Source organism: Homo sapiens, chromosome 9 (assembly GCF_000001405.40).
Source record: "Homo sapiens chromosome 9, GRCh38.p14 Primary Assembly".
Taxonomy (NCBI): Eukaryota; Metazoa; Chordata; class Mammalia; order Primates; family Hominidae; genus Homo; species Homo sapiens.
Window position 1 is genome coordinate 97761752 of NC_000009.12, and position 12700 is coordinate 97774451.

General features: G+C 47.2%; 1 long non-coding RNA gene across 1 annotated transcript in view, besides 2 other annotated features; it reads right to left on the reverse strand.

The window, feature by feature from the left end:
* Positions 1 to 12700, reverse strand: part of PTCSC2 (papillary thyroid carcinoma susceptibility candidate 2) — a 153456-nt gene that overhangs the window by 62127 nt on the left and 78629 nt on the right. The window lies entirely within an intron of this gene.
* Positions 10132 to 10633: an enhancer, noted in NCBI's record as "NANOG-H3K4me1 hESC enhancer chr9:100534165-100534666 (GRCh37/hg19 assembly coordinates)". NCBI's record gives its function as "activates a minimal SCP1, AML or CMV promoter by ChIP-STARR-seq in naive H9 embryonic stem cells {active_cell/tissue: H9 hESC(naive)}" and the evidence as "EXISTENCE:reporter gene assay evidence [ECO:0000049][PMID:30033119]".
* Positions 10634 to 11133: an enhancer, noted in NCBI's record as "NANOG-H3K4me1 hESC enhancer chr9:100534667-100535166 (GRCh37/hg19 assembly coordinates)". NCBI's record gives its function as "activates a minimal SCP1, AML or CMV promoter by ChIP-STARR-seq in naive H9 embryonic stem cells {active_cell/tissue: H9 hESC(naive)}" and the evidence as "EXISTENCE:reporter gene assay evidence [ECO:0000049][PMID:30033119]".

Consider the following 12700-nt stretch of genomic DNA (forward strand, 5'->3'; position numbering starts at 1 on the left):
TCAGAAAACAGACATAATTCTGTTACTTTCTAGTGGAGAGACAGAAAACAAACATAACAAATGAGACAGTCACACATTATAGCAGAAGGTGACAGGTGTAGGGAAAGAATAAAGGAAGGAAGGCTCCCAAAGGCGAGGAGGGCCAGGCAGCTATGACTGATAGGATGCACGATGAGGGCTTCTCAGAGAAGGTGCCATCTGCACAGGACGTGAAAGTGGGGAGGAAGGAGCCAAAGGCACCCACAGGGAAGAGTGTTTCAGGCAGAAGGAACATCAGGTGCGAGACCTTGAGGCAGAAGGATGGAGGCTCTGTGTGGGGTTGGGGTGAGGGAGCAGGAGTGGGTGACCTCAGAGAGGTATTGGTCAGGGAGGGCAGTGAGGTCAGAGGTCAGGTAGGTGGAGCCTAGAGGGCACAGTGAGGACTTGGCTTTTCCTCGGGGTAAGATGAAGCGACACTGGGGAATTTTGATCAAAGAGGCGGCATGATTTAACTTCTACTTTCACAGGACCCGCCTGGCTGCTGGGTGGGTATGAGAGGGTTGGGGTAAGAAGGGAGGCAGAGAGATCAGTTAGGAGGCTATTGCAGTAGTTCAGATGAAATTAGTTTGAAGTGGGAAAGTTGAGTTCAGCACAGAAGAGGTTAACGATACCAGTAATGGAGCTACCAAGGAGGTAACTGGGGGCCAAGGTGGGGCCAGAATAGAGAGGGACAGAGAGAGCCCACCTTCCTGTTTCCCACCTGTGTGAGTCTGGGAAGCTGAGATGTCCAAAGGGGAGTCCAGGCTCTTGGGGTGGAGGCCCCTATCCATCCAGCCTTCTAAAATCTGTATTTTCTAGACCCTTCTTCCCTGCCTTTCGACTATTGCCTGGATCTCCTGCATCGAGTCTCACCTCCCCGAACCCATCCTCCAAGCTACCTCAGAGCACTCTTCCAAAACACACCTTGGACACCATCATTCCCTTGCACCAAGACCTTCAGTGGCTCCCTTTGTTTCAGGGCAAAGTCAGATCTCCAGTTCCCTCATGATCTGGCACCACCCTAACCTCCCAGCCTCATCTCTCACCATTTCCATCACATACTCAATACCCCAGCCACATTCAGTGCCCTGCCCCTTCCCAGACAGACCTCAAGCTTTCCTTGTCTTTGCTTAATAATAGTCACTCCAGTTGATACAGCTTCACCATCAAAGTCCTCCAAGAAACCTTCTCAGACCTTCATCCCCTTCCCAAGCTGGATGAGATCACTCAGAACTTGAAAAGCTGGTGGAGCAGCCACCTTATTTCTATCAAGAGCCCAGGGAAGGGGAGTGGTAAAGGAAAGTAATGGTGAGCACTCAGGGGCAGAATGGCCAATGTGTGAGACTTCAAACCACACAAGAGGAAGAGAAAGGCAAGCATCCCCAGCTAGCCTGAGGCATATTGGCCCATGATCCTTAGAGGCAGAATGTGGAGGGAGCTCCGACGGGTTATGGCCAAGTATGTTCTTGGGCAAACCACTCTCCAAAGAAGGGAAAGAGAGAAGCTCCCTGTTAGTAAACTACCACCATGTGCCAGGCACTTTTCCTGCTGTGTCTACTCTGTTCAGCAACACTGTGAGGCGGGGATTATGATCTCTTATCGGTTCCTCTGGTGACTTCTAACCAAGGCTGTGGCAAGGTTTTGTGCTATAGGTGGCATTTGCCCTGAGCTTTAAAACTAGGTAGACTTTGGGCATGTAGAGGTAAAGTTGGGATGTGGAAGGGAACAAAGGGCATTTTAGGCAGAGGGAATAAAATAGAGAGGGAAAAAAGGAGGTAATTGTGGGTCCCTGGATTTTAAAAGTAGAGTTGCCATTGTTTCATTTTTTTTAAAAAAGAGTATACTCTGAGGAGTAGCTGGAGCTAAGTCTGCGAAGGCCAATTAGGATCTGTTCTTGAAAAAGAGCCCCAAATGCCAGGCTAAGGCAGGGAAATTAAGAAGCAGTCCCTTCCCGTTGCACTCAGAAGTTTCCAAGCTGGTGGCTTCAGTGGAGAGAGGAGAACAGAACCCAACAACACAGAAGAAAATGGCTTCTCCTATCATAGCTAACCAAGCAATTTTAGCAGGCTTTTGGAGGAAAGAAAAAAGCAACAACAAAACCTGCCAGGCTTTGCTTGATGGTGTCTACAAGGGAATTTTGGAAACAGACAGGCTTGTGGATCAAAATATAAAGCTCACCACTTAAATAGCTTTATTTCTCAACAGCTGCACTAAGTCCCTAAGCCTCCCAACACACAGGAGGAGGTAATAGGCATCGCTACTCCTTGCAGAGGACAGACACCCCAGTCTGCAGGCACCTCGGGCCCCAGCTCTGACCTCACAGGGGAAGTGGGGCCCCATCCCCAGGGGGTAGCTTAGGAAGGACCCAAGAGGGCAGGGGAGTCACTGAGTGGGGAGTATATGTTCTTAGATCTTGGGCCACTCTCATCGAGTTCCACCCTAACCTGGCATTGAGGCCCAAACGGGAGATATTTGGAGGCCTATTCAAGGCTGAGGAATGGATTTCAAAGGGTCCCAATTGCCCACCACTCCCAGCTCCACGTTGGGCTTCCATTTGCTTTGCCCTGGTCATCGGCTGTGTGATATAGTCAGCACTGCAGGGCCTCACCATGAAGGAGCTGTTGAAAAACCCAGCCCCCGCCCCCGGCCCGTGCTCAACACCCCACAACCCACCTGCCAGGCTGTATAGGTCTATCAGCCTCCACTAAAGATCAGAGAACATCAGAAAATTGCAGCCATAAAACCGGATTCCAAATATAACTCTTCCAAGGGACAAAAACAAAGAAATATAAACCCTCCATGAGTGGTTTTCTCATGTTTCTTGTCTTGAAGACCACTTTCCTTTTCCTTCTCTGTGAGAAAAATCCCTTTGCCAGTCCTTCACCAGGTGAGTCCTCACAGGAATGAGACTAACTCAAAGTCAGGGAAATCCATCATACAAAATACACCTAGCAGGAATTTCTCAAAGACCAAGTCTAGAATAGTCACGCAGGGCCTCAGCAGAAACACATGAGGTGAGCTTGGGCACTCAAAAGACAGTCCTCTTCTATGTGTCTTCACCAAAATGAAATGAAAATGCCACTGGTTCTCCCCACCACCTCCCAAATGGTAATATTTGGAACACACACACACTTTCAAAGCTAAACAATAATTCTCAAAGCCAGTGTAGACTCTAGACTACTAGAAGACATTTTTACAAATGCACATAATCTGCACAGATTCTCCCGCCCACATGGATATCCATCTTATACGTGCCCCTTTTTGCTCACACCAGTTGGAATTGTGTTTCTATCACTTAAAATGGTAAGAGTCCCAACCAGTGCACCTCATCTCCCTGTATTGGTTAAGAGGCATTCAGCCAGCCGGGCACGGTGGCTCACGCCTGTAATCCCAGCACTTTGGGAGGCCGAGGCGGGCAGATCACCTGAGGTCAGGAGTTCAAGACCAGCCTGGCAAACATGGTAAAACCTCATCTCTACTAAAAACACAAAAATTAGCCTGGCGTGGTGGCATGTGCCTGTAATCTCAGCTACTTGGGAGGCTGAGGCAGGAGAATCGCTTGAACCTGGGAGGTGGAGATTGCACTGAGCCAAGATTGCTCCTTTGCACTCTAGCCTGGACCACAAGAGTGAAACTCTGTTTCAAAAAAAAAAAAAAAAAAAAAAAAAAGAAGCATCCAGCCTCAAATAACAGAAATGTATTATGTCACAAAACAGAAAGTGTGGAGTTGGGATGGGCTTCAGGGTAGGTTGATTCAGGGATTCAATGGTGTCTTCAGGTTCTTCCAAGCTCCTTACTCTGCCTAGAAACAAGGACACATCAATTTCGAACATCACATCTGTATGGAATCTTCCACATGATGTCAATCTGAGGAAGTAGGGGAACCGTTTCTTACTATGTCTGCCTCCCAGGGATAAGGCAAGGAAAACTTCCCCAAAGTCCTCAGCAGATATTTCCTGTGTTTCATTGGCCAAAATCAGATCTCATGGCTTTCCTCAATCAGTGAGTTGAGATAGAGACACTGGCAAGTGAAATGGGATTTTCCCTAGACCAATCAAGCACTCCTCTGAAGTTGGGGGTGGGGTCAGAGACCCCCAGGGGTAGCTGGCTGTGTCTGTAAGTGTATGATGGGGTTACCTCAATCACACTCGGGTTCTGTTAGGAAGGAACAAAAGGAAAACGGCACTGGCAGGTAGCCCACGATGTGCACTGCACTACGTCCAATGATTACCTTGGCCAAAGCTTTCCTTAAACTTGGGCCACATCAAGTTCTCAGGCAGGAAGTTTTCTCCCCCTAGTCTCTGCAAGAGAATGGTGATCATAAGACATCCACACACAATGTCCAGAATCAACCTTCAGGTGTCGACATTTGTCCTAGTCACTTTGAGAAAGGTTCTCTGGACTGCTGTCATGGGATGGACTAAAGTGAGGTGGTGCTGAATGCAGGAAGTCAGTCCAGCTGTCAGCCCAGCACCAGTAAAATCAGCAGACACCCCAGCCCAGGAATGCCAAGGCATGAGTCAGGACTAAGTTTTCGGTCAGAAGGGTGAAGAAAAGAAGGGTGTGTTGTCAGAGGGAGACTCTTGGGGATTTTGCCAAAGGAGGATCTTGGGGCCCTGAGGCCTTCTGTGCAGGAAAGGCAGGGAGACAAGACTCTGTGAGTTGGAGGTGGAGGGAGGGGCCCCCAGTGCCATACCCTTTACATGTCCTGAATGGTGCAAGGCAGGTTGGGTGAACAGGACCCTCACTAGGACTGACCTTGAAGCTCTTCGCTCCGTCAGCTCACCAGTCATTGCTTGGTGATGGGAACAGAGTGTGGGATTTGGTTTCCCCAGCCTCACCTCAGTCTGAATTCTCCAAACACTCTATGCTGTTTCTTGCCTTCAAGCTTTGGCTCTGCTCTTCCCTCTTCAAAAAGGCTTTCTCCCACCCAGGCCTCCTAACTCATCCTTCACAGTACAGCCTTCGCAGTCCCAACTGAGTGAATAGCTTCCTCCTTCTGCTCCCACACAGCTGGAGGGCTGCACGCCTCCCTTTGGGTTGTAGTTTCTATCCACATGCTTATCTGTCCCTCTCACACAATGAGCTGGGGGCTCTCGGGAGCTGGGACCATATCTTGTTCATCTTGGTGGCCTCCACAGTGTCCAGCACAGCATAAGTCAACAACACCTGCTAAGAAAGGAGGATAGGAAAGGTGGAAAGAAGAGAGGCTCCTGTCACTTCTTCTAGAGCTGAGTTGTCCAGTATGGTAGCCACCAGCCACATGTGGCTATTTAAATTTAAACTAATTGGGCCAGGTGCAGTGGCTCACGTCTGTAATCCCAGCATTTTGGAAGGCCAAGGCGGGTGCATCACCTGAGGTCAGGAGTTCGAGACCAGCCTGACCAATATGGTGAAACCCCATCTTTACTAAAAATACAAAAATTAGCTAGTCATGGTAGCATGTGCCTGTAGCCCCAGCTACTCAGGAGGCTGAGGCAGGAGAATTGCTTGAAGCTGGGAGGCGGAGGTTGCAGTGAGTCGAGATTGCGCCACTGCACTCCAGCCTGGGCAACAGAGGGAGACTCTGTCTCACAAAAAAAAAAAAAAAAAAAAAAAATTAAACTAACTAAATAAAAGTTAAAATTTAGTTCCTCAGTCACACTAGCCTCAAAGGCCTCAATAACCCTATGTAGCTACTGGCTACTGATTGGACAACACAAACATAGAACATTTCCATCATTGTAGAAAGTCCTTTTCTAGAAACTCAAACTATGGCTGCAGAACTAAGAGGGGCAGACCATCTGCTACAAACACCATTCTTTTCCAACCCAGCACCCAGCACTAGGCCAGACACAGCCTCCTTCCTCCTCTCTCTCCTTCCTTTCCACCCATCTTTCTCCACACCCCTTTCCAGGAGCAGATCATAATCCCGGAAGAGACAACCTTGAACACCATAATCCCAAATATTGAAAAATCCTGAAGGATCAAAATCCCAAAAACACAATTCTGGAAAAAATAATTTAAAAATTCTTGAAAAGATATTTATTTACATCTTTAAAAGAAGATTTATTTGAGAAACACAAAAACACATAGGCCACTTTACACAATAAAATAGGCAATAATATCATACATATTTTTGCAAGCATAAATACTCAAGTGTACTAACAACAGTTATACAAGTATGACAGTTATGAGCAGATGTACTATATTCATAAAGAAATAGGTTACAAATGGAAATGTATAAATGCATACCACCATAGTTAGTAGTTGTAGGCACCCAGATTTATAACGGCAGTCATCTGAAATACCATGATGAACATCCTAAGTCTTTTGATGACATCAATAAAAAACCATGGTGCGTCACCACCAAATATGCAGTCACCCAAAGGGCCAAGATCTCAAGAAATGTTATTTTTACAAATGCAGATGTACAAAAAAGGACATATTTTCCTTTACTGAGGAAGCTTCAATGTTTTTACATACATGTACAATGCTTACACACAAGCCAACATTGTGATGCTGTACTTTCATGGAGTCAAATTTGTAAAAGCTGCATAAAACAAATTAGAACTCTGAAAGCCTCTATACAATTTATACTACAAGTATTGGAAATGATGCAAAGATGAGATATGAAGGGTAGTGAATTGTAAAAAATAATACTGACAATTTTAAATAGTAGGGGGAAAACCCCAAAAGATTTAAAAACTAAAAAGAAAATTTGACATATTGAAAAGTGTATTATAGGGATAGATTATGGGCAATTGCACAGAGATAGTCCATAAGAGCTAGCTGATTTTCATGATTATTAACTATGTTTTGAAGTCTTGCATCATGATAAATAGCTGCTTATTATTTTTTTGGACACAGATCTCCTTGGAAAATACATTCACATTCATTTTCTATGTGGCACTGCTCTTTTTGAAATCCTTCTATGATACAATACACACTGACATTAGCATTTCCTATTAAATTTTCCAATCTTTTGAGCCCTGCTTCTGTGTTGTTTTGAGTACTCCAAAATGCATTCCACAAGCGTGCATATACAGACCACAAATTTGGTGGAAACGATAATGGCGATCAAACAGTAACACATTGTAACACCATTGGCTGTCTCCTTATCCTACCACGAAAATAATTGTTTTCAAACTAGTCAATAACGTCACCAGCTTCTTCAGGCAAATGTGGCTTTAATTCATTAAAAGCTCCTGGAATGTCATCAGCTAGAAGGAATGTCAATGCAGGCCAAGGAAACATTCTTAAACAGAAGTTTTCATAACTGCAATATTGCTTGGCCAAACAACTCATCTGAATTTTCCACCAGATGCAAATAAAGACAACAGCAAGGTAATAGTTCCGCCTAACGTGATGCAACTAACATAATGTAACTGCTCTGTGTGCAACCGAAACCCCCACTAATCCCACCTCCAGAATTCAGCTTTCAGGATGATGGTGTTTGGGATTGTGTTTTTTTGGATTAAGATCCAAAAGCCACTCTTCCTGTCCCCCAACAGGGTCAAGTGAGTCAAACGAGTCATTCACAGCAGCTTCAGAGTTCACAAAGCCTTTTTACAGTTTGCGTATCTCCAACCCTTCGCTACAATCCTAGACAGCAAGGAGGGAAGGAATTATGATTTTCATTTTACAGGTGAGGAAATCAGAACTCAGAGAGGTTGTGACTTGCCCAAGATTTCCCAACAGGCAAATGTCAGAGCCTGGATCAGACTTCAGACTCAGGCCCCCTCTTTTTCTCCAGTGCCGTGTCACCTCTCACTAAGGGGTCATCTAATCCAGCCTGCTATCTGATATACTAATGCCTTCAACAACGTCCCTGTCCAGTGACTATCCAGCTTCTGCCTAAACACTCCCCAAGACACGAGCCTCACTACCATTCCCTGAAGCAGCGAGATGCATCTTTAGACAGCTCTGCCAGAAAACACTTGCTCAGTCAGGGTCAAAATCAGCCGTCTTGTAACACTCCTGTCTGAGACCTCAGTAATCATGCCATGCAGCCATTCAAATGCCTTCTGCGACACAGATGCCGGCCCACTTCCAGCATCTGCTCGCTCACCTCCAGTTTGGGGAATTCAACACCACTCAAGCCGACCCTTTCCTTCTTTGAGTATTTAAAAATCATCCTCCCTCCCGCAACTCCTCCCCACTGGCTTTGTCCTCTGTGGCCCCCACAGACCACATCTGTTCCTTCTGCCCCAGGGTAGCCCCTCAGAGACAACGACCATGCCCCTAAGTTTTATTTTTCTTCTGGCTGCAGCCTTAACAGGTCACCAGGGACGGGATGCTCTGTCCTGCTAGCCTGACTTCCTCTACTTCCCTTTCCCCTGAGCACATGGACCCCCACATTTCCACAGGAGGCCAACGTCATGTCTATAATAACAACTACTGCCATACACTGTGTGTTCACCATGTGCCAGGCACCTTAATGAGTGCTCTGCTTGTATTCCATCTTCAATAACTCTGCATTATTATTCCCATTAGACTGCCTATGTATACATGGCTGTCACTCTGGGTTGAGGGGACAACTGCAGGAATCTGAAGGATGGATGTGACCAGAAACAACCCAGGTTTGAACCTGTGTCAGTCCCAAGACTCCAGGCCCCAAGGAAGGTGGAGGAGTTCAGAGGTATACAGAATCTGATTATGGGCACAGACCACAGGGGCAAAAGACTTGGGTTTAAATTGTAACCGTTTACCGACTATGTGACTTTGGGCAAGTCACTTCACCTCTCTCAGCCTCCATTTCTTCATGTTTAAAATGGAGCCAGTAGCAGGGAGCTAGTAGTATGGAGCCCACATGTTGCAGTAAGGAGACAATGAATGCTGGCTCAGTGCTCAGCCATGGAAGCTAACACCAACATTGTCATCAATATTATTACAGAGAGATCATACCCAGGGCTGAGGCTGGTGCATGTCATAGTCTTGTCCCCCCTACACACACACACTGAGCCTGGTCAGACACAGTGTCTTCCTGCACCCCCACGCACCTTCCAGCAAATGCCTGAAACCTGAGGTGGGTGCAGATGGGCTATATGAGGGAGGGGTGTGAGAAGCCTGAGGGGGCATGGCTTGTAATGAACTGGGCATCACTCAAACTTCTCTACAGTAAAGAGAAAGGGCAATGGACAGGAAATAAAGGGTGAAAGAGAGTGAGGAGATAGAAAGAAAAAGACTGAAAATGCTGCCATCTCACTGCTAATGAAAGCATGGCTTCAGGCAAGTTATTTTCCCTTCTGAGCCTCCATGTGCAACTCTGTCAAATGGGCTAGTAACTCTGTCTGAGCCTCCATGTGCAACTCTGTCAAATGGGCTGACTGGGGTGAGGATGAAGTGAGGTGCTGCACCTGGAAGCCCCCAGCCAAGGTGTAGCCCACAGGAGCCCTCAGGGAAGCTCTGCTCCTGGGCAGGGAGAGCTCTGTCCAGCACGGCAATCCACAAGAACAACAATATAATCAGAACAACATGATGCCTACTGTTTTCCAAATACTGTGTGGGGCCAGTCCTCACAGCAACCTTTGAGGAAGGTGTCATTATCCTCACTTACAGGTGAACAAACTGACAGTTAAGCAGGAAGCAGGTAACATGTACAAAGTCACCCAGTAAGCCAAGATGCCAGGACTGGCACCTGGGTCTGGCTGATGCCAAATTTTGTTCCCCGAAAATCAAACTGTGGATCCCCTGTGAGCCAGGCACTGGGTGTGAGAGCCTTTCCATAAATCTTCCCTCCTAGCCCAAGGATCACCCTGGACCACTTCCACTGGGGATGATGGAGGAAGACTAGACAGAAGCCCAGTGCCCTGAGTTCTGGTCCCCTCTCTGCTACAAGACGCTGCATGGTCACAGGCTACTCCTTCCTGCTCCTCAGCCTCAGTTTCTTTATCTGTATCATGGAGGTCCTGGAAGTCCGGACTTTCAGGGTTTTCTGACTAACACTGAGATTGCGCACACAGTAGCAGGAAGTTGGAGGAGGAAAGTCATCTTAATGGGAGCAGAGTACTGCATTCCTCTATCCCTTAATAACCACTAATTAGTTAATCCCTGTAGCAGCAAAGTGAGTTATCAGGTATTATTAGCCCCAATTTACAAGCAGGAGGTTGAAGGAGAGAAGAACTGACAGAGGGATTGGTCCCAGGCTCTAGGCAGAGTTGGGATCAGTGAAAACCCAACAGACACTACAAATTGCTTCAAGATTGGGGGAGGAGCAGCAGAGAAGCGAGGGAGGCCTCAAAGGGGAGGAACCACACAGGAAGGTGCTTCTGATCCTCATGAAGTTGAGGTCCCTCTGAGGGCACCTGGGCCTGCTCTGTCTATGCACAGATGTGTGGACCTAGGCCCAGAGATGGAGAGAGACTGGCCCAAGGTCACACAGCCAAAAGTGCAGACAAGGAGTGCAGAGCTCCATCGGTTCTCAGCTGAGGCTGTTCTGATGGGGGTTGGGGCGATGGCTTCTAAGAGCTGAGCTTCTTCCATGGCCCTCCCTGAATTCCTAGAGAAGCAGCCAGCTGTAAGCCCCCAGGGATGGTGTGTGTACTAATGGCCTGTGACAAAGGCAGAGGATAAGCTCCCTGCTCTGCAGACTAAACAAGGCACAAGAAGCCAAGTCAAACAAAAGCTGAGGTTTTGTGTCGGCCCAGCTGGTGGGCTAGAAGCGGCCCAGCCTCTTGGGAGGCCAGGCCCTGAGCCATCACCTGGAATCTCCTCTGGTGGCCTTTCTCCCTTTTGCCACTGAGGGCTGCACAGAAGCATGTCCACAACACATGTCCTCACTCTGTGACCAACCCTGCTTTGTAGCACACAATGCACTTTCATCACAAGGCCCCAAGATGACAAAACTGAGGCTCAGAGAGGGGAAGGAAGATGCTTACCCCAAGTCACATAGCAAGTTAGGCAGGAGACTGGGCACAAGACCTCCTGACTTCCGCACCACCACAACCCTCAAATTTTTTTTAATGAGTGTTTTTCTTTAAAACATAGTATGAACACTGGAACAGAGGGAAATGCAGTATTCCAATTTCCATCCACAGTGTTGTCCGACCTGGCATCTCACTGGAGTCCCCAAGCACAGGCCCTGGCAGCAGACCAGGCTGGGTTCAAGTCCTACTCCTGCCTTTTGCTAGCCCCACGGCTTTGGCAAATTACTGCAGTTGGAATTATTAACTGTTGGAATTATTAAATTGTTGGAATTATTAAGTGAACTAATGGGCACAGACATTTTGTTCCACACTTAGCATATAGTAAGCACCCAATTATTGCTATTGCCATTAGCAGCTCCGGCACTTACCTGCCAGGTGTGCAAGGCCCTCAACTGCTAAGCCTTCTGTCTCAAATGAGACATCACCAAGATTTCTCCTAACTCCAGAGCCCTGTAGTCTCCACCACCTGGCCCAAATGAAACGATGGACCCCAGAATCAGGGAAGTATGGTGGGAACCTGTGTCACTTCCCTGTTTCTCTTTCTAACCAGGCTCCTTGCCCCTCCCCCAGGCTCCACACACCTGCAGCAGAATGTTCCGGGATGTGAGTCTGCACAGCAGCCAGTCTGCCCATTCTCAGAGCTGCTCAGTTGAGTCACTCCTAGTGTTGTTCTGGGAGAAGGTGGAGACTTTCATGTCCCTTCTCTGGCAGTGCTGCTCCTAAGCGTGTAGGGAGACAAATCCCCCTGCCTTGTTTTGGGTACAAACAGTGGAAACATAGGCATCCTACCTGCAGAAGACTTAGGAGTCAGTCTCCATCAACCCCTTGGATCACGTGTCAAAGGGGTCCTCACCACAGCCCTAATCGTGCAGGGATTGCTCTGGTGTTTTCAGAACACAGCTCCTGTTCTATATTGCAGAGCTCACTTTCAAAAAATTGAGAATGATTTGGCTTCAGGCCTGGGGTCATTTCTCACTTCTTGTCTCCTGGTTCCCAACAGGAGCAAGAAGAGATCTGCCTGGTGGGGATTAAGGTGACACTGCTCTCTACCAGCTAGGGAGGTGCAACAGGACATGTGAGGAGATTACCTACCTGCCCCTGCTTACCTTTCTGTGTGTCAAGTTTAAGCCCCTAGAGGGTTATGTGTAATACTGTTTAGGAATCTTAAACGATAGAGACCCTATTGCTGGGATTATAGGGTGTGGAGACATTCTCGCCTTTCACACTGAGGCTTGGGATGGCTGCCAACCTCAGTGCGTCATGCCAGTTGCTGAGCCCTACTTTGCACAGAAGTGACTTATTCCAGTGTATTTAAAATAACTAATGTCCCAGGAGCCCCTTATCTTTAGAGCACATTCTGCCATTGACTGATATGGACTCAAAGGAAAGTTTCCAGACCCAACTGTAGCTGGGAAATTATTGGGTCTGTGTTAAAAGACTCCACTCCTCAGGGTGCTTGCCATGAGACTTTAGACAGGTCATTTTCCCTGTCTGGGCTTCCATTTCCTAACCTGTTACCAAAACATAATAACTTCCAGCAATGTCTGGTTTTCATGGCTAGGTGAACATCCTTTCTAATACCACAAATTCAAGGGCTTATTATTGTTTCCTGAAAAAGTATAGAGTTATGGCTTCCAAGCATCAGTTGAAAAGTAGAAAAGTAGAAAAGTCACAGTAGAAAAGTCAGTATAAGATAATCGGAGGACTGTTATTGGAAAGAACTGATTGGCCTTTAGTCAAGTGTGTGTCTTTCCTAATTATTTTATTGGGGGCTA